The following is a 25899-nucleotide window of genomic DNA, read 5'->3' as shown; positions in this document are numbered from 1 at the left end:
TGGCAGGGTTGAGCTGTCACTTCCCAGGGGCTCCTGGCACACAGCATCTCTGGCTGACCTCATTCATGCTCATGTCGGCGTCTGCCTCCCCCACCAGGCAGATGGCAATTCCAGCCAGGGGGTCCTGTTCACTACTGTGTCCCAGGGTCGGGCCTGTGCCCTTACACAGACTAAGCGCTTGCTCCATAATGGTTTTCTGAGTGAAAGAATGAGATGGGGCAGAAAACCCAGGTCGACCATGCCTCCCATCAACCTGTTGGCCCTACAGTGGCAGAGCCGGCCCTAGGCCTCATCATTTGCCACCTGAGGCTGCTGCTTCCATCTCTAGAATGGTGTCCAGGGAGCCAGGACAGCAGCAGGACCCCCATACCTCATGCCTTCCACGTCTGGGGCCACCAGGCGGAGTCCTGCCCTGGGTGTCAGGATCTGCAGGCGGACAATTTCCTCACCTCTTGAGCTGCGGGCCAAAGGAGAGACCCAGTGGGTTGCAGGTGAGAAAAGTCTCCCCCTTCTTGGGCTGGTGAGTGCGGTGGGCCGCCCAGACCCACTGCCCCCTTTTGATGTGCTCTCATCTCCTCCTTGGCCTTGAGCCTTGTTGGTGCTGCAGCTGAGCTCGGGCCACTGACCTGTAGGCCCCTTCCCCGGTCTCCCACCCCTGACCTGAGCCCAGCCCTCCCTCAGGCACAGCAAGGGCCCTTCTGGGTAGAAATGAAACCTCCCAACCCGTGCTTCTACCAACCATTTGCAGGGGCAACCGCAGCCTGTGACCCCACCAGGGTATCCAAAGTGGCCATTTGTGAGGCCAGGGGTAGTTCTGCATTCATGGACTGGTGGGGACTGAGGGGTACGAGAGACTGAGAAAACCCACAGACCAAATATGGAATGAAAACCAGTGGGAGGGGATGTCGCAGACTCGGGGATGAGGACAAAGGGCCCCTTTGAGCTTTCCTCTTGCCAGCCACGCTCAGAGCCCTCCCCCAGATGACCACAGGCCACCCCGGACACACATCCCTCCAAGTCTGATGCATTCTCTGGCCGTACTGCAAGGCATGACGCCCAGCAGGCTTGGCCATGGTGTGGCCAGGGCCAGAGAGAATATAGAGCTCCCAGGCTTTCTGGGGGTGGACCCTTCACCCCAAACCAGACCTCCTTAGGTCCATGGAGCAAAGCCTAATTCCAAGCCACATTGCAGTCACTCCTGCCTTTGTCCCTGGGCCCTGGAAGTGCAGACAAGCCTGAGCCCCAGGCCTGCCCTGGTGAAGCTCTGGGCCCAGCAGGGTCAGGCAGGGGCAGAGAGGCATGGAAACTGACCTTGCTGTGCTGCAGGGCCCAGAACAGGTTTAGCCATGGGAGCAGTGGACAAGCTTCATGGAGGCATAGCCCGACCCAGGCCAGCTGAAGGGAGATCGGGGGAGGAGGAGGAGGTAGAGGCTGGCAGGGGTCCTGAATGTACAGACTAGATCTGGTATGGCAAAGGGAAGATGCAGGATGGGCTTGAAGTGGAGGTGGGGGGTTTATAGGTTCAGACTGGCACTTTAAAGAGGCCACTCAGGGGTCCCAGGAGGGGTAGGGGATGGAGTGGCCAAGGTGAAAGCAAGGAATGAGCCATGGAGGGCTGGGTCAGCGGGCTGCTCATCTCTGTCCCTCCACTTCCACCCTGGCCAGGGCCTGGAGTGCTCAAAGTGACCAGAGGGAAATGGAAGGGCTACCAAGGACAAGGCCTCTCCCATCATGAAAGCCAGGAGGGGCCCTAGACACACAGACAGCTCTGACTTCTCCCCATCTCCTCTCGTGATAACGACGATGACATCGTTGTTGAGGATGATGTCATTTATGATGACAGTATAAAACCCCTGGCTGCCTCATTTAAATCAGGTGGTGCCAGGGAACAGGGATGTCACAGGCAAGCACAACATATTTTCTCACTGGCGTTTCTGGCTCTGTCACAGAGGAAATGGGAACAAAGTGTCACCCCAGCCTGCTCCAGTGACTGATGTCAGACTAGGGCAATGTGGGCAGACACAGAGGGAAGACGGCTGCGCGAAGACAGAGGCCGAGATGGGAGTGAGGCGGGCGCAAGCCAGGAAACACCAAGGATTGCAGGCAACAAAAGGTAAGAGAAAGGTATGGAACAGATTTTCCCCCAGAGCCTTTGGAGGGAGCATGGCCCTTCCGACACCTTGATCTCAGACTTCCAGCCTCCAGAATTGTGAGAGGATAAATGCGTGTGGTTTTAAGCCACTCAGTTTCTGGTACCTTGTTACAGCAGCTCCAGTAAACTAATACAAGGGTCTCTCCTCCCCCACAACCCGCTACCCCACCATCTCCCCAGACTCTCAACCACAGACAGCTCCAGTCCAAGCTGAAGTCCAGGACCACGCTGGAAGGCTGCACACCCTTGGAAGGCACCCAAGGAAGAGAGGCAGGCATCTGCTGAAGCCTGAAGCCCAAAACTGATCACAGCCACCTGTGGGAATGCGACCAACTGTGGCCTGTGCCAAACAGTGTGTGACTCATTCTGCCAAAGAGCGAGGAGGCGGGGATGTGGGGCGAGGGGATACCTCCTTTTCACTGCCTTTGGCCACATTTCCCTCAAATGCCAGCAGGTGGAGATATTGATCTCTTCCTGTATTTGAATAAGGGCCCTGCAGCTCAGCACGCCTATGACTGGGAGCCCCCGAGGATACCAGCACCCAGGCACTGTGGTAAGTACTTCAGGTGCACGATCTCATTTAGCATTTGGGACAGCCTTGGGAAGTAGCTATTACTGCTCTCCCTATTTTATCCACGGGGAAACTGATGCATGGAGAGATGAAGAGACTTGCTCAAGGTCACACAGTCAGTCTGATGCAAAGCCAGGGTTTTGTCCTGTGCCAGAAGCTGTGCTCCTACTCCCTGCTCCCCAGACGCTCTGCCAGGCAGCATGCTGGGCAGAGCCTAGGACCGGGACCCAGGAGGCCATGCCCTGGTCAGGTGAGGCAAGCTTGACCAGTGCTTCGGGTAAAGCAGCCAGGCCTGGGGGCCGAGAAGGGGTGCATGTGTAGAACCAGTTTCTCCAAGAGAGGGTCCCTAAACTGGGTTCAGGTTGCAAGGGGGGCAAGAGTTATGAGGAGCTGACCTTTGCACTGTAGCTAAGGGAAACAGGGCAGGGCAGGGGGTGGGGAGAGGGTAGCCTCGATAGGTCTGTGCCTGGGGACAAGGCTGTGACATTCTCCTCTTCCACTCTGCCACAAACCAGCCTTTTCTGAAGTGCTGCAGGACCCTGAGTTTGATTGAGTCATTGTTCCTCACGGGCTGGGCTTCTCAGACACCAGGCAGATAGGAGCTGGGCCTGGGAGTACTGATGGTGGCTGCTTGGTCCAGTGCAGCACCTAACGTGGTAGGGTCAGAGAAGACGGCCCTCCAGGGTCAGGATCAGCCAGCAGCTTTCCTGGAAGCTGCCTGGGTGAGCTCCAAATATTGAGTGACCAGAATTGGAGGAAAGAACTATCAGAAGCATCAAGCTGAGCCTCCTGTTGGGAGCTTGCCCCGGACCCTGAATCTCTAGCCTTTATTTGTTATGGCAACCTGAGCAAACTTAAAAAGCCACCTTGCAATGACAACCATATGATGGGGATTAAACATCGAAAGGAATTTTGTGGAATAAATGTCAAAGTGCCTTTTAAATCTATAATACAGCACAATCTAATTCTCCTCCATTCTTTCTCTCTTTTTTTTCTTGTTTTAGAGACAGGGTCTTGCTCTGTCACCCAGGCTAGAGTGTAAGGGTGCGGTCACAGCTCATTGCAGCCTCAAACTCCTGGGCTCAGGCAGTCCTCCCACCTCAGCCTCCCAAGTAGCTGGGACTACAGGTGTACATCAATGCTCCCAACTAATTTTTAATTTTTATTTTTTATTTTTTTGTAGAGATGGGGTCTTGCTATGTTACCTAGGTTGGTCTCAAACTCCTGGCTTCAAGCCATCCTCCTGCCTTGGCCTCCCAAAGTGCTGGGATTACGGGCATGAGCCACCATGCCCAGCCTCCTATATTATCTTCTAAAAGGCACCTGAGGCCAAGCGCGGTGGCTCACGCCTGTAATCCCAGCACTTTGGGAGCCTGAGGTGGGCAGATCACAAGGTCAGCAGTTTGAGACCAGCCTGGCCAATATGGTGAAACCCGTCTCTACTAAAAATACAAAAATTAGCCGGGCGTGGTCGCGTGCACCTGTAATCCCAGCTACTCGGGAGGCTGAGGCAGAAGAATCGCTTGAACCCGGGAGGCGGAGGCTGCGGTGAGCCGAGATCACACCACTGTACTCGACAGAGCCTGGGCGACAGAGCGAGACTCCATCTCAAAAACAAACAAAACAAACAAACGAACAAACAGAAAGGCACCTGAAACCATTTATTGCCTTTCTTTAAAAGAGAAATAAGGAGAAATGAGAACTGTATACTGTTATGGGCTGACTTGTGCCACCCAAAATTCATATGTTGAGGTCTTAACTCCCCCATGACCTCAGAATGTTACTGCATTTGGAGATGGGGCCTTTAAAGAAGTGACTAAGTTAAAATACAGTTGTTAGGGTGGGCCCTAATCCAGTTGGACCAATGTCCTTATAAGAAGTGATTAGGGTCTGGGCGCGGTGGCTCATGCCTGCAATCCCAGCACTTTGGGAGGCTAAGGCAGGAGGATCATTTGAGTCCTAGAGTTCCAGACCAGCCTGGGCAACATGGTGAAACCCTGTCTCTACAAAAATTTAAAAAAAAAAAACTAGCTGGGTATGGTGGCCTGTGACTGTAGCCCCAGCTACTCAGGAGGCTAAGGCTGGAGGCTCTCTTGAGCCTGGAAGGTCGAGGCTGCAGTGAGTGGTGACTGTGCCACTGCACTCCAGCCTGGGCGACGGAGTGAGACTCTGTCTCAAAAAAACAGAAGTGATTAGGACGCAGGCACACACAGACAGGGATGAGCATATAAGGGCCCAGGGAGAAGATGGAGTCTACCAGCCAAGGAGAGAGACTCAAGAGGAACCAACCTTGCCGTCACCTTGATCTCACACTTCTAGCCTCCAGAAGTGGGAGATGATACGTTTCTGTGGTTTAAGCGCCCCAGGGTGTGGTACAATACTTTGTTGTGGCAGCCTTTGCCCCCATATCCCTCAATTGCCAAGTCCCCTAGATCAGGGGTCCCCAACCCCAGCCTGAGGATCAGTACCAGTCTGTGGTCTGCTGGGAATCAGGCTGCACAGTAGGAGGTAAGCTAGAGATCATTACTGCCTTAGCTCCGCCTCCTGTCAGATCAGCAGATTCTCATGAGAGCGCGAACCGTATTGTGAACTGCACATGTGAGAGATCTAGATTGTGCGCTCCTTATGAGAATCCGGTGCTTGATGATCTAAGGTGGAACAGTTTCATCCTGAAACCATCCCCTGCTCCGTCCCGTGGAAAAAGTGTCTTTCACGAAACCAATCCCTGGTGCCAAAAAGACTGGGGAGCTCTGCCCTAGATATTGCCTTGTAAAGAATTCTCAAATCTTCCTTTCCACATCTTCTATGGACCAAAGTTCTTATGGGGAGAGTCAGACAACCAGAGAAGATCAAGAGAGGGAGAGAGTGAAAAGGAGAAGCACCCTGGCAGTCTGCTGCCTGGGGCCATGGAGGGAGCTGGCCTCATGCTCCTGGCTCCCTCTGCCAGCATTTCTGTCTCCCTCCCAGACTGAGGAAGTAACCCTGAGGACAGTGGTCACCTGTCTATAAATGGCTGTGGAGCTCAAATTGGGGGATTGCTATGGTATTAGGAGAGCCTGAACAGCCCTTGGGGGCCTGGGAAGTGACCGGTAGGGACAGGCCCTCTCCCCTTCTGGATGCAGGGGTCTTCCAAGGGTGCTACAGAGATGCAGCTCTTAGGAGACCTAGATTTGAGCAAAGGTCTCAATCCAGGCAGGCACTTTAAACAGCAGCAACAGCAGGTGGTGGCTCTCCCTGCAGGACTTAGCACCATTCTGCACAAAGTACAAGAAGGTATTAGTTGTCCACAGACAAGAGAGCACCATTATCTGCCCAGATTCTCAGGGATCAGAAATCAAGACAAATCACGGCCCTTCCTGGAGTGAGATCACCAGTGCTCAGCCTGTCCTTGCCCCATCACCCCACTGCCAGACCCTCCCCAGCTGGCAGAACCAGCCAGCCAGGCTGGCGGGAAGCCATCACACCCACTCACAAGCCAGAGTCAGCTCTCGGCACCCACCTGAGCTCCTGGCTCCCAGCGGGGCTAGGCATACTTGGCAGGCACTCGATCCAAATTGCCCGAGACGCTTTGGTCCTGCCTCCATCCGCACTGGCAAAGAAGGTGGCTGTGAGAGGCTCTGGAGATGTCAGAGCCTCCTCCCTGGGCATGCTGAATGTGGCTAACTTATTGGAGTGCAAGGAGCAAGTCTGACAATGGCATGCTACTGCCATGGTGGCTGGCCCTCTCAAACCCCAAGGATGGTACTTTTTCTTGGGGTGTTCAAGTTGCCACCAGGCTCAGTGGTGCAAGGGTTAAGGTGACACAGATACGTACTCATCAGACCAGAGCCAGGTGCTCTCTCCCGGGGGGCTGGACTGTTTTGCTCCTTTCAGCCCTGGGACATCCAGCCAGATGGGCTCTTACTGATTTCTTTGTCCCGTCTTGTCACTGGGCACATGGGGACACTGATCTCGAAGCCCAGCATGGAGGTGCCCTGACTGAGGTTCCTCAGTGACTGAGTGGCAGGTATGGCAGCCACCAGCCCCAGGCAGAGATGAGCGCAATGGATTACCTGTTTGAGCCAGGAGTGGATCTTGCCAGAGCAGGTGGGTCCTGGCTCTTCTCAGAAGGCCCGTCCTCTTCCACCACCTCCACCCTTTGAGCAAGAAGAGAAACAGCGCTCGTGGTCTTCTTGGCTGCCCTAGAGCTTGGAGGCCTCAAAGAACATGCTTCCAGTGGCGTCTAACTGACCCAACCCTTCAGGATCACGGCCAAGAGGTGGCCCAGGCTGGGGGTTCAGTGACTCCAGCTCAGGATAAGGACAGCATACTGGGTTGAATAGTGTCCCCCCAAAATTCATGTCCCCTGGAACCTGTGACTGTAACCTTATTTGGAAATAGGGTCTTTGCAGATGTAATCAGGTAAGATGAGGTCATACTGGAGTAGGATGGGTCCTAAATCCAATGACCGCTGTCCTTGTAAGAAGAGGGAAATCTGGACACAGACACACAGAGAAGAGAAGGCCATGTGAAGACAGACGCACAGACTGGAGTGATGCAGGTACAAGCCGAGGAACACCAAGGATCACCAACCACCAGCAGAAGCCAGGAGAGTGGCCTGGGATGGTTTCTCCCTCAAAGCCTCCAGAAGGAACCCACCCTGCTAACACCTTGATCTAGACTTCTGGTCTCCAGAACCGGGAGAGAATCCCTTTCTGATGTTTTAAGCCACTCAGTTTTTGGTACTGCGTTACAGAAACCACAGGAACCAAATGCAGCCAGGAAGACCCCCCCACCGCCCCCCGTTCTCTGTCACTTCCTTTGTGCTGCCACCATCCCTGCTCTCTGTATTCCTGCCAACTTCCTGGTCTTCCAACACAGCAAGCTAGTCCCACCCCGGGCCTGTGCACTGGGGCCCTCTGCCTGGGGCAGTTGGCATGCTGTCTTCTCTTGGGTTTGCAGTCCCCAGCTAGCCACCTCAGCACAGAGAGAGGCCTTCCCTGTCCACTCAACTGGAAGTCCCTCAAATTCAAGTTTCCAGAAGTTTCTTTCTTGCTTTCCCCCGAATATTTTCCTCCTCCAGAAGGTGCCCTGTCTCAACTAATGGTGACACCCCTCCCTCATTCAGCTGGAGTATCCCGACGTTCTGATCATTCCCTGTTAAGCCCTGTTCACCCTTTAGGGCCCATCTCCAATGTCACAGTCACCTCCCAGGGGAAGTTCTCCTGATGGCCCAGGTTTTGATCCTGGATGAGAGCAGAAGGCAAGGCATCAGGCAAGCAACAGGGGCAGGGGAACAACTCCCAGAGGGCCTTGGAAATGCTCCACGTTGGGTCAGGGGCCCAGCCCCATTAGCCATTGGCAAATGGAAGAGCTTGACCACATATGCTACCACAGCCACCCAGGTGCTTGCCAGGCCTCCAGACAGAAGCCCCCAGCCCCTCACAACTCCCCCTGCTCAGGGACAGTAGTCCCCCACATCCACATCCCCTCTCCACAGCTCCCACACTACACCCCTGCTGACGGAAGGCCTTCCTGTGGCCAGTAACAGGCCTCCAAGGTGTCCCTTGATGACACTTACCTCTTCGCGATAAACGGTGCCTGTGTCTCCTGGGTAGGACTGCTGGAAAGGAAGCAGAAAGGCAATGCTTTGGGCAGAGCCCGTGGGCAGGTGACATCAAGACCGCTCTACCTCAGAGGGTCCTGGGCCCTCTCCATTCCCGGCACTTCACTGTCCCTGGTGGTAGCCGCCAGACCTCTCCATTTTCTAGAAAGTACATCTGAGAATCTGAGAAGGCTCAGCTAGGAAGGCCCTTGGGGGTGATCTCTCCACCCACCCTTTCATCAGCCAGAGAAGGCTGGAGCTCTGAGGAGAGGAGAGCTGTCCTAGAGCCTGGAGCCAGTTGGTGGCAACTCACCCAGTGCTCTTCTTGGCCGCTGACAGGACGTAGGAGTGCTCCCGGGGAGCTGTCCTCCTCAGAACACCGCTTGCAGCCTCTGACCTGGGGTGACACGGGATGGGGGAGCATCTGATGGGTGCCAAGCTGGACATGCTCTGCCAGCCTAGCCTGGGATGGACTCGGGGTGACTTAGGGCCACCCCAGGGAGGCAAGGGGTGAGAGAAACCAGATTTGCACCTGCTCCAAGGACTATTCAAAGGAAATGTAGAACCTGAAGGAAGGGCAGCCCATGTTTATGGAGCATGTGGCATGTGCCCGGCTCTGCGCCAGATGCCAACATCCTCGCATTGGCTTATTGCTCTTCTCAATCCAGGAAAGTAGACGCTAGTATCCTCTGTGATTTACAGATGAGGAAACTGAGTCCAAGAAGCTTTCATTATTTGCCCAAGAGCACTCACCTAGCAGGTGGCAGAGCTGGCATTCAATGCTAGGCAGCTCCTAGCTTCTGGCTCTTTTCCTTGCTCCACCCAGGCCTGGGGGCCCCTGCCACTGTGAACTGTTCCCTGAGGATAGCCAATCTGCCAGGGCCTTTGGCAATGGGGCTTTGCTGTGATTCCTGCGCCACAGATGGGTCAGCAGATATGGACCTGGTGGCTGGCTGAGCCCAGGGAGGGGAGGGCTTTATTTCCTCAGGGCCCAACTGCTGTACAGGCCCCAAGCCAAAGGCATACAAAAGGTGCTTAACAAACCCTTCCTGTCATAGTTCACCAGCACTGGGTGGTATGTGGTCAGTCCCCATGGACAGAGGACTGAGGAGGGGCAAGGGTCCATGGAACTTTGCTGGCCTGTGTGGACGAGGGCAGCTTGGCGCAGAGACTAGGGTAGAATTTCAGCAGCATGGGGCACACTCCCACTGCTGTGCATGCCTGGAGCTCAGTTTGGGGTCCGGGGCATTCAGAACCCCCAAGGCATGCAGATCATGCAGATAGAGGGCACTGTGCAGGTGGCTTCTCCCTGAATATTTTTGTTCAACTGTCTCAGGGCCCTTTCTAACAAACCGATTTAGAGCCCTGAAGAGCCTCCACATGAGGAGGCTTTTCCCCGGACCCACATTACCTAGGTTCTACCCCACAGAAGGTTCTCAAGGGCCCCTCAGCTGGTCCAACACTGAGTGGGTGGTTCTGGCACTCAGAGAATGACACCTATTCTCATGCTCCGTGGGCTACCGCTGATGGCCTACGTGTTGTGCATTTTGTCACCCCAACCAGTACAATTCATTCCAGCAGTCTTCGAAGACTCAGGCTCCTGCCCTGCCCCCCGGGATGCCCAAAAGGCACCATTCCATTACCTCCGTTTCTGTTCATCTGAGGAGAATGGCACCACCTCCTCCTCCTCCTCCTCCTCGGTGTCCCCTGATGTAGAGCTGCGCCTGATATTGTAGGGTGCCCTAAGAGAGGGGAGAGGCGCTTTCCTGTCATAGGCTGCCACCCTCAGCAGCTTGGCTTCCTGGCTTTCAACAACAATGACGAGGCAAGTCAATATCTCTGCCTTTGGGCCTTAGGTCATGCCACTTGTTCCTCCCTGAGACCAGCTCTCCCCTCCCTCCCTGTTCGAGCCTCTCCCCTTCCCCAGAAAGGTTACCCAGCAGCTCCCCAACCCTGGATGATGGAGGCAAGGGACAAACAACGGAAAGATGTGGTCCCCTGGGAACTAGAGACACAATTCACACCTCTGTCCAGAGAACCCTCCTCCCTGAGCATGCAGTGGGGGGTGGGGGGCTTTGAAAGGGACCCCAAGGGGAGCACTAAGGGAAAACCCGAAGGTTTCTATCCAAGAAGCAGCTCAGATTTAGGCACACAATGCTCAGACTGACAGCAGCACCCTGAGGATCCCCAGGCCCCCAGCCCAGTGCAGCCAGGCAGAGCACCTGAGGCTCGGCCGGGTGCAGGGCCAAGCCCAGGAAGCACAGCCAGCCAGCAGCAGCCTCACGACCCATGACCCTTTCCCCAGATCCGTGGGGCCCCTCCTACAAGCTTCCTGCGGTCTCCGCTCTGCCTCGGATCAGACGTGCAATGTGCACAGCCATCCAGTTTTCTGGGGCTTGTTACCCTCTGGTGGGCTCCAGGCCACAGCTGCAACTGGCAGGGAGTGTCAGGCAGGCGGGACTTCCCGGGCTGTGCTCGGTGGCAAGTAGTCAGCTGCCTTCAGTGGACCCAGAGTTTGGACTTGTTCCTTGGAGGAGGGAACCACGCTGAGCCTGGCGTTGCATACTCACAGCTTCTTGTAATCCTCAGTGGTCATCTTGTAGCCAGAGGAGGAGGGGCGGGGAGGACCAGCGTTAGCTGTTCTCACCAGACTGGCAGCACTAGAGAGGAGAAGGTTCCATGTGTCTACCTGCAGGCTCCCTCCTGCCTCCAGATTTGGCCACACAGCCCAGTGGACACATGAGAGGTGGACCAGGAGCTGCCTGGGAGCCTTTCCTCTTTGCTTTTGGCCCTGACAGACACCCGGAACTGCGCCACTCAGAGCAGCTGTGTAGGCAAACCCCACCGAGCTTCAGGGAACAGCCCAGCGGGCTCTTGCCTGTGTCTTTGCTTCCTGTTTCCGGGTCCCCTTGGCCTTTCCAGTCTGACGGAGTCCCAGGCAATGCCTGATGCCAAGGTGCTTGAATTGCATGCAACTTCAGCCTTCTCAATGCCATCAGCAAGTCAAGTCAAGGGTGCCCACTGCCAGGCTAGGGGGACTCTACACCCAGCCCCTCCCAAACTCCTGCACCTCTCTGTCCCATTAGCCAGGCCTAGTCAGGACTGACCCCAGGACAAGGACACTGTTAGTGGCCCAGGACCTCCCAGAGACCCACACATCCACTTGGGACTGCCAGTCCCACCCCAGCCCATCTCCTCTGGTCACCCCACCCTGCTCTCCAGGGTCCTGCCCTACCCAGGATGAAAGCTGGCACCTCCAAGGCCCCACAGTCCTGATAGGCAGAGCACTGTCTCTGCCAGGAGCCCAGACCAGGCCCTCACACCTCCCCACTGGCCGACTGGCCAACACCCCATGGACATACCTTTTTGGAGTCCCGTTGGCCTTGGGGAACTGCTGCTGGGGCTGGGAAGAGCTGTCTATGGGCTTGGTGAACACTCCCCTGAAAGAGAGCCCAGGAGATGCCGGTGAGCTCCCTGGAGGGACTGGAGGGGTAAGAAGTCAGGGCTTGGCGTGAGTGGGCACAGGAAGGCCGGCAGAGTCCTGCGGTCACTTACCGGATGATGTAGCCAGTGGGAGCCCTTGTGCTCGGAGGCCTGCCGAAGAGAAGAAGGGGTGGAGTGAAGCGAGGCTTGCTGGAGGGCTGAGGTCATCCTACTTTATCCTGCCCTTAACGATAGCAAATAAGATTGGCTGGCAAGTGCTCCAGGTGTCCCAGTACAGCAGAAACGAGGGGTGCCAGCCCCCTGTGCCCCTGATCAGGTGCCCGCTATGCTCTGCCTATTTCCCTCATGCTCCCCCAGGAAAAGTGCCCCAGGTGACTCCTCATGGCAGGTGCCTAGGAAGGCAGCTTGATGGCCTCTCCAAAGTCCAGCTTCTCCTTGGCCAGCCAGTTCCCAGTGCTGCGCCGACGGAGCACTGCTCTCAGCTGACAGCCCTCCCATCCTCTGTGCTTGGGGCTGAACCAGTGCAAGCTGGAGGCTCCCCAGTCAGAGCCAGAGGCTTCCCCTCAGCCCGGGGTCTGACCTGATCTCCCTCAACAGCCTCCACCAGGAAGGTGCATGAGGGCTTGAAGGGGAGAGCCCAGGCAGCAGCCAGCCGAAGCCAGCTGTCCCCCTTCCTGTCCCTCGGGGCCCTCTTTGCTCCAGCTCCTTGCATGCCCACACCCCAAGTCTTGGTGGAAGTTTGAGACGAGAGGGCGCGGCCAGGCCTTGTTCAGCGGCTGGGAAACATTAGGCTCTGGGTGCTTGGGACCTCCTGCTTGGCAGCAACTGAGGGGGCTCAGATAACTCAGGGGGCAGCCAAGACGAGCGGGCAGGGAGCTGACAGCCAGGGGTGGTCAGCCTGGAAGTTCTGGCCTCCGGGCAGGAGTTAGGGGCCCCTGCAAAGAGTCCTCCTCAGAGTTAGGGGAGGAGTCAAGGGGTCAGGGTAGACCCTTCTGTCCTGCAGTGGAGGGGATGTGGGCTGGAGCATCGGGGTTTGGGTCAAGGGCAACACAGAGCCTCCGGTAGTCTCCAACCCCACAATCTCCATCTCTAACAGGGGACAGCCTCCCAGAGGTGGCCATGTTGCAGGCACACTTGGGGGTTCTCGCTTTTGTATTGAACTGTTTACTAGGGTCCTGCCTGAGTCCCCTGCTGGGACGTCAGTTGCCCAAAGACAGGGCCTTTGTCTTGACCACTCCTGCATCCTCTGTGCCCAGCATGGGACCTGGCAGGTAGTGGGCGCTGAGTCATCGAGGGGTGACAGAGAGACCGTAGTTACTAAAGGTAGCCCTGTGTGCTGGCTGTAAACTTGAGGCCCTCCCTTCCAGAGGCCGCCACTGCCTCTACCACCCCCTGAGAAGCCGCCTGCCGGCTGTTTGGAGCAAGGAGCGAGCCTGAATTTCAGTTCCCTTTCTCTGTCAGGAGCAGTTCCTCCAGAGGCCAGCAGGGTGTGCCCACGCTTCAGAGCCCCCCTAGACACTGTTATGGAAAAGCCCCCAAAAGAGAGAGAAGCCAGTTCTCCTTGGTCAGCTGACAAAATATGTCACGGTAAACTTGGGAGACAGTCAGAGCAAACTCGTGCCTCTCTACAGGCATGCTGAGTCCCAAGTACACTCAAGCAGTCAGGGTGACCTGCAGGAGTGAGTCACTGTGACTCTGGAAGCTGCCCAAAGCATCTCAGAGGCAGTATCACTCCCTGCAGGGAATGGGTGGGAGGTCGTCTTCTTCTTAAAGACAATTTCAATCCCAGTTAACAGCTGGAGCCACGGAGGCCCAGCAGGGAAGTCAGCTGCCCCACAGCCACACAGCCAGGCCAAGGGCCTGGACCAAGTGACTCCTACACTCCCCTTCCCAAAAGGAAGGTGCAGTGGAGAAGCCCCTCCTTCCTGCAGATTTCAAATTACTCATTGCAGACCCTTGGCTGGGGCTGCATCCCTGTCCCCTGTGGACTGCCCACCCCTCCCTGTTGAGGGCTGGCCCCAAGCTGCAGGAGAGTCCCTGGGGCTGACCCACCAGCCACCTGAGCACCACCTCTTACCTAGGCTTCGGAACCTCCCCAGCTGATGAAAAGGATGTGGCGCGACTCCGGCCTGAGGGCAGCTCTCTGGGGGAAAGAGGCATCCTGAAGGATTGGCTCCGAGACTCCCTGTCACCTGCCATCCTGTGGCCTCCATCCTAGAGGCTGCCCAGCAAGTCCTGCCATTTCTGCCACACATTCTCCTTCCCAGGCACCCAGGGGCTCTCCCACCCTGTGACATTGCTGGATAGCCTTTCCCACGCTCTGCCCTCCACATGGCCTGGCGGAGCTCTGAATGGTGGAAGCCCCTTCGCATCCCCAGGTATGGTCGGTCCCCCACGGATTGCGCGCCCCCACGTTGCTGCGGTCCCTCCCCGCCTCCTTGCCTTACATGGTGCGACCCTCCGATTCATCCTGCTTGGTAATCCAGCTCTTGTCCCCCTTCAGCGTGGTTCGCACTTTCATCTGCTTGAGAACGTTATTGCGCTCCTCCTCGCCTGGTGGCAGAGGCTTCCCTGTGGTGGGAAAAGCCAACCGCCTCAGAAGAGGAATGCAGCCCCAGGACCCTCGACCTCCTTTCCAGTTCTCCCAGTATGCTGCTCTCCCTTTGCTGCTGGGACAGTGCTTGTGGCCTGTAGGGGCAGGCTTGGAAGCAAACAGCCCCAAACAGAGCCTGGGAAACCAGGGAGCCCAGGCCTCACCTTTGGTGCGGCCTCCAAGAGCTGAGATACTCATGGTGATTGCTCCGCAGCTCTCCTCTCACTTGATTCAGCAGGGCTTCTGGGGATAAAGGTAAGCAAATGCTGTCACTTCATGCATTTGTAGTGTCTTGCAGGTGACCATATGGGTCCTGGTACACCAAGATCATCCAGACTGCCCTCTGCACATCGGGGGTGGCAAGCGTTGGTGGAGTGCTAAGTATGGGCAGAAGCCAGGGGGCCAGCACTCACTGTACCTGCTGCTGCCCAGCGGCACACCCACCTGCCTGCCCAGGGCTGCTCACCTAGAGAATGTGGAGCTCAGGGGCTGCCAGGGACTGTCTGTTCAAAGCGATCACTGATAACGGGAGAACATGAGCCCTCCTACAGAGTGCTAACAGCCTGGCTCAGGCTGGGGGGTGTGGGGAAGACAGCTGGCACTGGTGGACTCAGAGGGTGGGAGAGAGTGCATCCAAAGCCGAACAGCTTCAGGGCAGGCAGATGGCCTGTGGAGAGGGACGGGCTGGGGGACCAGCTGCTTTGGGGTTGGACCTTGCTTCTCACCCCTTAGGAGTTTTCTGACAGACCTTGGGCAGGTCAGCTAACCTCTCCGAGCTGCCTCAGTTTCATCATTTGTAAAATGATAGTTAAAAAAAAAATTCTACCTTTCAGGACTGCTGTGAGGATGGAATGCGCCGATGCTCCTATAAGTACCCGGCACCACCTGAAAAGGAGCCAAGCAGCAGTAGCTCTCAAGTCATCTGCTAGGAGAGGCGCGGTGGTCCTCAAACAGCGCCAAGAATGGTCTGGGGTGTGCAGCCCTGTTTCCTTCGGGGGTTGGCTCCACCTTCAGTGGGGAAAGCCCAGGGCCCCACTGCCAAATCCTAGTGGCCCTCAGGGAACAGGCGAGTGTGGCAATGTGGTAAGTTAGGCTTCCTTACGCCCTGGCCCACAGCTGCCTTGAGCTCTGCTTCCTCTTCCTCTGTGTCTTCTCGCCCTGCTCTACCCCTGAGCCCGGTGCTGCTCATGCTGCCCAGACGGTGCCACACTGCCTTCAGCCTCTCTGCCCTTGAGCCCAGTGCTGCCCTCTCGTGCCCATGAGGGGTGAGCTGTGGTGGTCTCGAGGGCCATTTGCTCCGGAGAAGGGCCCAGGGTGATGAAGCTGGCTCTCCAGGCTGGGAGCGACCCAGAGCTGCAGGGAGCCCTGAGTGGCCACAGCCGAACCCTTGGGCCTCAAAATAGGGGCTGGGGGCTCAGGCTTGTGGGCATGACAGGAAGCAGGGCCCTGGTTGTGCTGGCATAGTCACAAAGCAGAAGAGCCTTTCTCTCCAGGGCCTTTCATCCCCTGGGCCCCTCCAGGGCTAGGGTCTGACCAGCTCAGCACTGCTGCCAGCTGGCAGGGCCTGGATGTGTTTCTGTGGAGGTCAGGGGCACACTCAAATGGGCAGGGCAGGGGGACGAGAGCAAACCAAATTTGCCACATCAGCAAGAGCTGGCTCTTCCATAAACTGCACTGAACGAGCAGCCCAGACAGCCCGAGCCTGCTGTGTGCCAGGAATGGCACCTCATCACTGCAAATGGGAGCCCCGCGTGCCCAGCCCTGCACCAAAGCTGCCACGTTAGAGTTCTGTTGAGTGGCGCTCACTCCACAGGTGTTCCTAGGGCCATACAGGCCTAACTGTCCCCATCCCAGCAACCTGTGGAGTGGCCCCATGGGCAGGGCACATGTGCAGAGTCTCTGGGTGCCACTGACTGACTACAGACCTTGGGACAGTTCCTCACTTCATCTGGGCCTCAGCTTTTCACCTGCAGGAGGACCTCCTAGTCTTTCGTCTTTAGGTTCCTTCTAACCTTGCTAGGCTGTACTAGCTAGTATGACTTATTTTGCGCTGGGCACCTCAAAGACGTACTCCTTTCTAAGGCCTCAGGGACTGTAGCCACCAGCTTCCACATATGAGCGTGGCAAGCAGGTGACGGTCATCCACAGTTTCGGGGGTGGACTCCATCCCAGGCCCAGTACCAGGCACAAGGACTCATCAGTTACCCCTTGTCAAACCTGATGGCCACATTGCCTAGAAGTTTCCTGCCAAATCAGGACCAAATAAGCCACTTCCAAAGTCAAGACAGACACTTTTGCACATGCAGAATGACAGAGGCAGAGGGACCCATGGCAAAGGAGGGCAGGGCTGGGTGGGAACACCATCCGTCCCCTGCAGAGGGCACCATGCTGCCTTCAGTCCCGTCTTTATAGCTGAGACTCCAGTCAGAAGACTCCGGGTTTATTGCCAGACAAAGACCAGGGCTGGTGCTTCTGCATGGGCTCCTTTCCCTCACGCCTGGCTGAGTCTCACAAGTGAAATTTCTTTTTTGATGAGACAATAAATATGAAAGAGTCAGAAAAATCTCTGCCAAAGTAGAGTCTTTCCACACGATGAAGTGTAAGGCAGTTCTTTGGGACAAGGAGCCTTTAAAGTGATGAGTGTCAGGCAGTGGGATGGGGTGGGATGGGATGGGTGGGATGGATGGGATGGATGGGATGGGATAGACGGATCAGATGGGATAGATGGGATGGATGGGATGGGATGGATGGGATGGGATGGACGGATCAGATGGGATGGATGGGATGGGATGGGATGAATGGGATGGGATGGGATGGATGGGATGGATGGATGGAATGGGATGGGATGGGATGGATGGGATGGGATGGATGGATGGAATGGGATGGGATGGATGGGATGGGATGGGATGGGATGAGATGGATGGGATGGGATGGGATGGGATGGATGTGATGGGATGGGATGGGATGGGATGGGATGGGATGGATGGGATGGGATGAGATGTAGTGGGGTGGGATGGGAGGGATGGGATGGGATGGGATGGGATGGGATGGGATGGGATGGGGCGGGGTGGGGTGGGTGGGGTGGGCAAATGAGGTTGGAATCTACATCCCATCTACAGAGCTGACTTCTCCCTCCAATTTGCCCTGGTCTAGGCCACGATCCCTTGAGACCTCCTCCCTGGTCCCTGGCCTGCTGCCTTTATCTGCACCTCCTCCAGGCAACACTCATTGGTCTCTAATCCCACTTGGCCCACATCAGCCTTCAATTCTCAGTCAGCACCTGATGGTTCCACACTGTTTCTAAGACTGGGAGCAAAATCACCAGTCCCCTGAGCCAGCCTCTTTCCCCCCAATGCCGACACTGTGCTCCAAGCAGACCATGTGCCTTGGAGTCCCTGGAAGGTAGCCCTGCCAAGTGAATGCCTGTGCCTTAGCTTATACTGGTCCGCCCACCTGAAATGCCCTTCCAACTTCCGCCGAGCTAAGCCCTGCTTCTCCCTCAGGGCCCGGCACGTCGAGGCCAGCCCTGCTCCTACTGGGTGCTCCCCTCCCCTAACTCCCACAGCCAGGCACAGACCTGCAGATCCAAGTCTTCCCAGGCAAGCCCTGCTCCTCCCCCAACCTCAGCAAGGACCAAGCCCAGGCACCCTGTGACAGCCCAGCACACCCCACCAGGGAGTGATTGCCTGAAGCCACCTACCCCTGCTCGGACCCAGGTCTCCTCCCAGATCCACCGTCCCCTCCCCTTGTCCAGCCCTTCACAGAGAGCAGGGCAGAGTGGCCCTCCACTCAGTGACAGCCAGGAAGACCCTTGCTACGGATGTAAGCAGCCTTGAAGGATGGAATGTGGACCCCTCCAGAGGTGGCTTCCTGGTGGCTCTTGTGGGAAGGGAAACCAGGAATCTCGACAGAATGAGTTTCTGTATGTATCAAAAGGCTTAAGGGCAGGCCTGCTGGTCCAGTAATTCCCCTCGCAGCCAAGTAGCCTGAGGAAGAAATTGCACGAGTACAGCAAAGATGTATATGAAACAGGTGTCATCACAGTGTTGAGTATGGGGGTGAAAATGTGGCAATAATCTACATGCCCATCAATCATATTTAAACATATTGTAATCTATCCATTCAAGCAAATACTATGCAGCTATTACAAATCATACTGAGACATGTAGTATTTAACATGCTTTATAAACCTGTATTGTGTACAGTTTCTATACATCACTCAGTGAAAAGCAGCCCGTAAAGCAGGATGTGTATGATGGTGTCATCTAAGTCAAAATATATTTACATAAAAATGCACAGGGGAAAAAATCTGTAAAGATATACACCAAAATATTTTGCTCCTTTGTGTATTTCTAATTTTCCTGTCATGAACGTGTATCTTCTGTGTGCTAAAGATGAGCCCGACGGTGGTTTACCCAAATGAAGTGCGAGTGGAGTATGCTTGAGCAGCCAAGGGATTAGTCTCAAGAGTTGATACCAGGGCCGGACGTGGTGGCTCATGCCTGTAATCCCAGCATTGTGGGAGGCCAAGGTGGGTGGATCACCTGAGGTCAGGAGTTCAAGACCAGCCTAGCCGACATGGGGAAACTCCATCTCTACTAAAAATACAAAAATTAACCAGGCATGGTGGCATGTGCCTGTAATACCAGCTACTTGGGAGGCTGAGGTAGGAAAATTGCTTGAACCTGGGAGGCGGAGGTTGCAGTGAGCTGAGATCGCATCACTACACTCCAGCCTGGGCAGCAGAGTGAGACTCCATCTCAAAAAAAAAAAAAAAAAAAAAGAGTTGATGCCAGGCAAGCAGTGCCTAGGAAGGATGGGAGGTGAGGAGAATGAACAGATGCAGGGACTTCTCTTGCTTGCTCACTCCGAGGAGGAAATCCCCACAGCAGCAAGGGCAGGCCCTCAGCCTCTGGGGCCCAGCTGTGCTGTGCACTGCTTTGGGCCACGCAGTGCTGCAGCCTGGGCCTCTTCCCGGGGCCTCCTTCGTCTTTTCCCACAAGCTGGGGTGGAGAAGGAAGCGGAGAGCAGGCAGGGGTGTTTCGGGCCGGATGCCAGACAGAGGTTGCTGCAGCGGCAGTGGCAGTGGCGGTGGCACCCCTGGAAGCAGGAGGCCGGCTTCTCCGTTCACACATGTACGGGGCCCAGGGAAGAGATGACGGGACAGGAGGGCACATGAGGCCCACTGATGGCTCCTCTCCCACCCCACGCAATCCCGCCCTGGCTCCCCAGCCCATGGCAAGTCAGCCAGAGGGACCTCCACAGAAAGCAAAGTACTCCAGGGGGCAAGGACAACTCCCTGCTCACGAGGCTCACGTCCAGAATATCTGAAGAGCCTGGTACAGGGACCGGTTATGGCTCAGGTGTGGACATGCGATGCCTATGTCTGCTTTCATATGGGTGGCAGCAGGGGGTGGGGGGAAAGGCCCAGTCTACCCAGGGAGAGAGCACCCACCACAGAGGCCTGGCAGATAAACCCTCTGGCCACCATGGCTGCTGCCCCAGGGCCACCCTCAGCTCTCCGCTCTCCGGGGCAGTCATTAGCGGATGTGAACCCCATTTGGGAAGCCAGTGAAGCCTCCAGAGCCTGTGTGCAGGACTCCAGCCCTCCCCAGGGCTGCACCCAGGTCCCAGCAAAGCGGCCAGAAGACCCAACCACTGGGACAGTGGCCTGGGCTCCGCTCTGCGATGAGAACCATGCCGTCCTCTGGGAAGCAATAACAACACTGGCTTCCCTTGCTGGAGCACCACCCCTGTGTCAGGCGGGCACCCTGCATGCACACTCCTGGGATCAGGTCTCAGAAGGCCAGCAGTACCGTGTGCAGCCCACGCACAAGAGCTGTGCCAATGCTCCTGCTTCCCCTTCAGCAGAGTCAGCCAGGAGTGGGCCCGTGTCTGGCCCTGGCCACACTCCCAGGGCTCTGAGTCCCAGCCACGCAGTGGCCCAGGTAAGCCCATGCACGACGGCCTCGAGTGCTCCTGGGGCACACCCACTGCCAGTCGCCTCTATGGCTTCCTCCAAACCGCTGGGCCCCAGCAGCAATGCTCACCCGCTGGAGGGAGGAGACACTTCAGACTCACCCAGCTGCACCGTGCCTGCCTGTGCTGCTCGGCCTGATGCAGCCACAGAGGCCTGCCACATGTGACTCCAGGACCCCACGGAGCAGGCCACCCACTCCCGCAGCCCTACACTCTCACTCTCCATCTGAGTCCAGTATGTCAAGCTCTCTCATGCCTCTGGGCTTGTGCCTGAGAAAGACTCAGAAAAAGTTCCTGAAGAAAAAGAAACTGCTGTAACTGGGGTTCCCTGCACCTTCCCATTTACCCTGCCAAGAAGATGGAGAGCAAATGTTCCTTCCTTAGCCACCTTTGAAAGTGGTGCCAGGGGCTTGCTACCTGCCCAAGTCTTCCAGTCTTCCTCTTCCTCTGCGAACTCAGGCTTCTTTCAAAGTCCATTAGCCCTGACACCCAGAGAGGCCACACAACCCAAAAGCAAACACTGTCCCCATGGGCTGTGGCCTGTGCTTACATCTCTGCTCCTCTTCCCTAAGTGGCCTCACATGGCTGTGACATCCCACTCTCCGAGTCTAGGTCTCCTCATCTGTAAGGTGGCATCTGTGGGCCTGCTCACTGGGTCTCTTCCTGACAGGATACACCAAGCTAGAACATGTGCCTCTCTGGATCTCTCATGCCATGACACGGGTGTCTTGATGGCCTGTGTGGGCACATTTCTGGTCAGGACAGCCACTCTAGGCCTTTTCAGTACCATGGCCCTCATTTCTACCTTGATTTGGAGAAGACTTCTGGTTTTTTGGAAATCTCCATATCATCCTGCTTAGGACCTGGCCTGGGCCACCAAAGGAATGGTTGGCTTTTCTGACACCCTCTGCATGAACTGTCCCTCGTGGTGCACCCCCGAAGCCCCACAAGATGTGGCCACACTCCACAGTACCCCTCTCTGTGCTGACTCTGAGCAAAGCCCCGTACTCAGGCAACACCAGCCTGTCCCAGGGCAGTTCAGGGCCAAGTCCAACTCCTCTTGCACAGGCCAGGCCACCTCAGACACCAGGCAGATGCCCCGGCCCGCCCTTCATCCCCTTCTTTCTCCCTCTTCCTGTCTCTGGCCAAGTGGGCTGAGAGATGGCAATCTGAGGAAGTGTCCCTGGCAGGGCTGGGCGGGGGAGATGAGGACAGGCCTTCCCTGAATTCAGATGGCCTCCAAATGCCCATGGGCATGTTCCTGCTCTACCTTTCTCCCTGCCTCTGTGGCCTCTGAAGGTTGCCCAGCAACCTCGAAGGAAGGGGCCCCTGGCCCTGATTGGATAGATAGGAGCGAGGAGCCAATGAGGTGGCTGAACAGAGCCTGTTATCCCGACCACAGCAAGCCTGGTGTCATCAGCGAGTGGAGTGAGAGGGGAGCTGACGCAGGGGGCTGATGCATGCAGATTCCCGTGCGCTGGAGGAGCGGGGGCGGCAGCAGGCAATGACGCAGGTGCTGGAGCGTGAGGAGATGGACACAGACGGGAGCGGCAGGAGAAAAGACTCCCTCTCACACCACAGGACGTGCTCAGCCTCCAAGATGAGAGGACTAACTCAGAGAAAGTTTTGTAGAACTTCCCCGCTGCCTGACTCCCCGAGGGCGGCACCTCCCAGAGAAGCTGGCTCGCAGGGGATTAGGATGGCTCCCAAACTGTGCAGAAGGGAAGTAGGACGCCAGGCAGGGCCTCCTAAGCAAACTGGGAGGGCAAGGGAGCAAAACGCCTTCAGCCTTGCCTTCCCGGAGCACTGAATATCGCTGCTCATGGATGAGATGCAGCCAGAGGGCACAGGTGTCAGGGCTTGTCTCAGTGCATGTGTGCTGGGCACTGGGCGCCATGCACAAGCAGGAGCAGGTGTGCCACAGGCAGAGGTGCAAGCAGAAGGGCTTCTTTCCCAAAGGTGAATTGGGATGCTTTGCATCCAGGAGCTGAGCAGACACCCAGCTCTGCCACCCCACGTGTGCCAACCTCAGCTAGGCTCACAGGGATCACTCACAGCTCAGATCTGTGTGGACCCCTTTGGGGTGGGTCAGGAGTCAGCATAAAGAAACAGCTGGACAGGGCAAGAAGGGGGACACAGCCCAGAGTGCTGCCCCTGCAGTCAAGTACAGGGACCAAATATGGATCTGTCAAGTACAAGTGGATGAAGCCATCAAGACTTGGGCTGCCCACTGCAGAGGCTGATTGCTATGTTTTAGGAAACCTCTGGCTGTGTTTCAGGAAAGCTCTGTCTGCAAGCACTTTCACGTGGCTCTGGGACAAGGAGCTTTAATGGAGGCAGAGGCCCAGAATATAGCTGGGGACCAGCACATAGGCCTGCCCCCATCACTCCAGCAGAAACATAAGTACTCCCATCTGGTCATGAGGTAAGTGGTGAAGGGATAACTCCCTTGTCTCCCAAGAACTTGCTCCTAGAGATGGGCGGACCCAGGCAGTGCTGATCCCTCAGCTTAGATACCTGCTGGGGCTCATGCCTGCTGGAACCCTCAGAGAAGATGGCTGGTCTCTGGGAAGGAGACTCATCCCAGCTTTGCTGCCCTGGGCAAATCCTTTCTCCCCTCATGGTGTCTGGGTTCCCTACCACTCGATAAGGGTGGCAATGACCAAACCATGGAAAAACACATGTGCAAGGGTGACCCCAGCTGCTACACCTTTCCCCCCAGTCCTCCTACAAGAGCCAGAGTTGGGCTTTACAAACCCAAGGCTCCAGGCTGCCCAAGCCCCAGAGCCCAGCCAGCCCAGGTAGCTCCCCTGGAGGGGAGTCCCTGGAGGGGAGGGACTCTGGAGGGGAGTCCCTGGAGGGGAGGGGAGTCCCCTGGAGGGGAGTCCCTCCACCCCTCCATTCTGGTCCAACTCAACCTGGGGACCACCAGCACCAGCACCAAGGGGTGAGAGGGAGGCAGTTCCCTCCCAGGCTGTGACCCCGCCCCCCCCCCAAGCCTGTCTGACAGCTTCATTTGCTGGAGGGCTTGCCTTGGTAAAATAGGGGTGGAGGTCAAATTCTGCATAGGGTGGGGGTGTCGAGGCTCCTGTCCATTTCTCACTGTAAATGTTCCATTTGGGCAAAGAGCCTCCACTGGACCTAGTGTCAGGAAAAAGACTCAAAGAAAAGTCCCCATGTCTTAGGTCCTCTTTTGCTGTCTTTCGAGCAAATGCCTGTGAGCTCTGAGTAAGGGCCCTCCCACGAAAGACCCTTCACAAACCCCTCGCAGTGTCATGAGCTGCCCCAGGAACAGGGCGGTCTGGGTGACCAGGAGAAGGGCGACACTGAGATAGTCAGAGCTGGCTTGCTAGGGAATGCAGCCTGCTAAACAAGGGGCAGCAGGTGGCTTCTCCCAGCCCATTCTCCTTCCTTAGAGAGCTTCCCTCTCTGCGGCCAGACTGCAGCCCTGAGCCAGATGGGGCAGCAGAAACAGATGCTGAGAGGGTAGTAGGGGCATGACATGTTCAGGAGGCCCCGGCGCAGAGCCAGCCATGCCTTATCATCTGTCATGTCATGAGACGGGCACAGCGGTGCCGTCAGAGATGTGGAGGGCTTGGTCAAGGCCACAAAGCCACACATCCATGCTGGCTCTTCCAACTCTGGAGCAAAGGAAGGAGTACTGACGAGGAGTCCAAGGACCTGGGTTTTAGTCACTGGACGCGTCACTCACCCTCCCTGACCTTCACTTCTAAACTTTGAGGTAAAAGAGAATGCTCTGTGCCCATGGGAGGGGGAATGGGCTTAAGGAAGCCCCATTCTCAAAATGCTCCCTGGCCCCTGCACCTGGTCGTGTGAGGAAGGTGTAGGCTTCAGTGCAGCCCCTCCGGTCATCACCAAGGCCACAGGACCCCAAGCAATGATACTTCCCGGGGAGGGGGCTAAGGTCAAAAGCCTAGCGCAGTGGGGAGAGCCTTGGCTGTGGCACAGACTCCCCCTGGAGGCTGCCATGGGAAGTGCAAGGACAAGCCTGAGGAATTATAAAGTCAGGAAGCACCACCTCCACCCCCACTCAGATGCCCTCACCCCGTCCTTTCTCAAGGCACGCACTTGGCTGACTCAGTTTGGACCCAGGCTGATTTAAGCCGGTGCGGGTGCTGATTTTCTGGACCAAAAGGGTTGGAATGATGAAACGTTCCATTTGATGAAGCAGCCTCCTGTGGCCAGGTCTGGTGAATCAGGACATTCTGATTCCCAGTCTCCTGCACTGGAGTCTCAGCAGCTGGCAAGGCAACAGTCAGCAGACAGGTTGCTTTCCTCTGGGAAGGGGATGGAGCAGGCACCGCCACAGGCACCGCTGCAGCGGCTGTAGCTGCTGTTCCAGGAGTTGCTGAGATCCAGGGGGATGGGGCACTTCAACGGTGATTTAGGGACCGTGGGCAGGGCTGAGCAGCTGGATCCCGTCTGAGCCTCCTAGTCTGCTGCTCAGCGTGCAGCTCCCAGGAGGCCTAGGCTGGGCCCCTCTTGCCAGAGCCAGAGTGCACGACCTGCCTGGGATGCTCCAGTCCCAGGGGCTCTCGCCTGGAGGCCAACAGGGTGGCAGGAAAAAGGCTCAGCAAGTGGAAAAAAAAAGAGCTGAAAAAGACTTGAGTTGCAGAGGGGAAAATATAATATGGAAAAAGAACGCATGGCGGGGGTGGTATTTGTAAATGTGCTTTACAGGTAAATGACTTCTGCATGAAAGTCTGGAATTTCACCTCTCCCCATCCCACCCCTAACACCCCAGCATCTAGACTTCTCGGCGTCTGCACTGGAGGGGCCCTGGGAGGCAGACTTTTAAGGCAGGCCAGCTCCTTCCCAAGGTGGTGGGGCGCTGGGGGTGAGGAGGAGGGGAGAAGGCAGCTGGGCCACCCACCGCTCCTTGGGGCCTCGGGATTCCTCCTGGCTTTCATGCGCCCATTTTCTCGTTCTCAGAGAGCCAGATACAAGCGACCGTTCAGGGAACTGGGCCATTTCAGGGCTGGCTTGGCTTCAAGGGCCCTTGGAGATGTCTCTGTGGAGAACAGAGGGCTGGGCAGGGACCCTCTTGTAGGGCCCTGGCTGCTTCTGTACCCCTCATCCTGCAGTTGTCTCTGCAGCCAGGGAACCAATGTGGTCTTCAGCCAATCCCAGTCATGCAGAGATGCTAGTCCCATTTGCAGACAAGGCAGCCAGTGAGATCAGAGGAGGCTCAGAGGTCATGGAGCCCACACTCCAATCTCCACAGCACCTCTCCCTCTCCCCCTACTTTCTTTCTTTCTTTTTTTTCCTTTTCTTTTTTTTTTTTTTTTTTTTTTTTTTTGAGACGAGTCTCGCTCTGTCACCCAGGCTGGAGTAGCAGTGGCATAGTCTTGGCTCACTGCAACCTCCACCTCCCAGGTTCAAGCAATTCTCCTGCCTCAGCCTCCCTAGTGGCCGGGATTACAGACGCCTGCCACCACACCTGGCTAATTTTTGTATTTTTGATAGAGACGGGGTTTCACCATGTTGGCCAGGCTGGTCTCGAACTCCTGACCTCAAGTGATCCACCCACCTCAGCCTCCCAAAGTGCTGGGATT

The 25899-nt window shown here is 56.5% G+C and overlaps 1 protein-coding gene and 1 long non-coding RNA gene across 56 annotated transcripts in view, besides 3 other annotated features; one reads left to right on the top strand and one right to left on the bottom strand.

The window, feature by feature from the left end:
• ZNF185 (zinc finger protein 185 with LIM domain) overlaps positions 1-25899 on the bottom strand; it is a 75415-nt gene that overhangs the window by 44450 nt on the left and 5066 nt on the right. For 8 of the 55 annotated variants that reach the window (XM_017029821.2, XM_011531195.2, XM_017029828.2 and 5 more), the window contains exons 2-13: positions 14509-14587; positions 14199-14322; positions 13829-13894; positions 11863-11901; positions 11670-11747; positions 10878-10967; positions 9951-10049; positions 8621-8704; positions 8284-8325; positions 6776-6859; positions 6223-6312; positions 371-457 (exon numbers count right to left, since the gene is read on the bottom strand). In XM_017029821.2, coding sequence (XP_016885310.1) covers positions 371-457; positions 6223-6312; positions 6776-6859; positions 8284-8325; positions 8621-8704; positions 9951-10049; positions 10878-10967; positions 11670-11747; positions 11863-11901; positions 13829-13894; positions 14199-14322; positions 14509-14542 — 917 coding nt within the window. In that variant the 5' untranslated portion in view covers positions 14543-14587. Of the gene's footprint in view, positions 1-370; positions 458-6222; positions 6313-6775; positions 6860-8283; positions 8326-8620; positions 8705-9950; positions 10050-10877; positions 11190-11669; positions 11748-11862; positions 11902-13828; positions 13895-14198; positions 14323-14508; positions 14601-15170; positions 15230-25899 lie in introns of those variants that run through there. The other 47 variants (XM_017029829.2, XM_047442493.1, XM_047442504.1 and 44 more) reach the window with 18 other exon arrangements.
• On the top strand, positions 1874-3683 carry LOC124905237 (uncharacterized). The gene is made up of 2 exons (XR_007068368.1): positions 1874-2113; positions 2333-3683. It is a non-coding gene; the product is annotated as an uncharacterized LOC124905237 (long non-coding RNA).
• Positions 12722-13295: an enhancer, noted in NCBI's record as "H3K4me1 hESC enhancer chrX:152084281-152084854 (GRCh37/hg19 assembly coordinates)". NCBI's record gives its function as "activates a minimal SCP1, AML or CMV promoter by ChIP-STARR-seq in primed H9 embryonic stem cells {active_cell/tissue: H9 hESC(primed)}" and the evidence as "EXISTENCE:reporter gene assay evidence [ECO:0000049][PMID:30033119]".
• Positions 19281-19330: an enhancer, noted in NCBI's record as "active region_30028". NCBI's record gives its function as "activates an Ori minimal core promoter by ATAC-STARR-seq in GM12878 lymphoblastoid cells {active_cell/tissue: GM12878}" and the evidence as "EXISTENCE:reporter gene assay evidence [ECO:0000049][PMID:35858748]".
• Positions 24416-24947: an enhancer, noted in NCBI's record as "H3K4me1 hESC enhancer chrX:152072629-152073160 (GRCh37/hg19 assembly coordinates)". NCBI's record gives its function as "activates a minimal SCP1, AML or CMV promoter by ChIP-STARR-seq in naive H9 embryonic stem cells {active_cell/tissue: H9 hESC(naive)}" and the evidence as "EXISTENCE:reporter gene assay evidence [ECO:0000049][PMID:30033119]".

This window comes from Homo sapiens, chromosome X (genome assembly GCF_000001405.40).
Source record: "Homo sapiens chromosome X, GRCh38.p14 Primary Assembly".
Classification (NCBI taxonomy): domain Eukaryota; kingdom Metazoa; phylum Chordata; class Mammalia; order Primates; family Hominidae; genus Homo; species Homo sapiens.
Note: the sequence above shows the minus strand (reverse complement) of the source record. Positions and strands in the feature narration are given on the sequence as shown.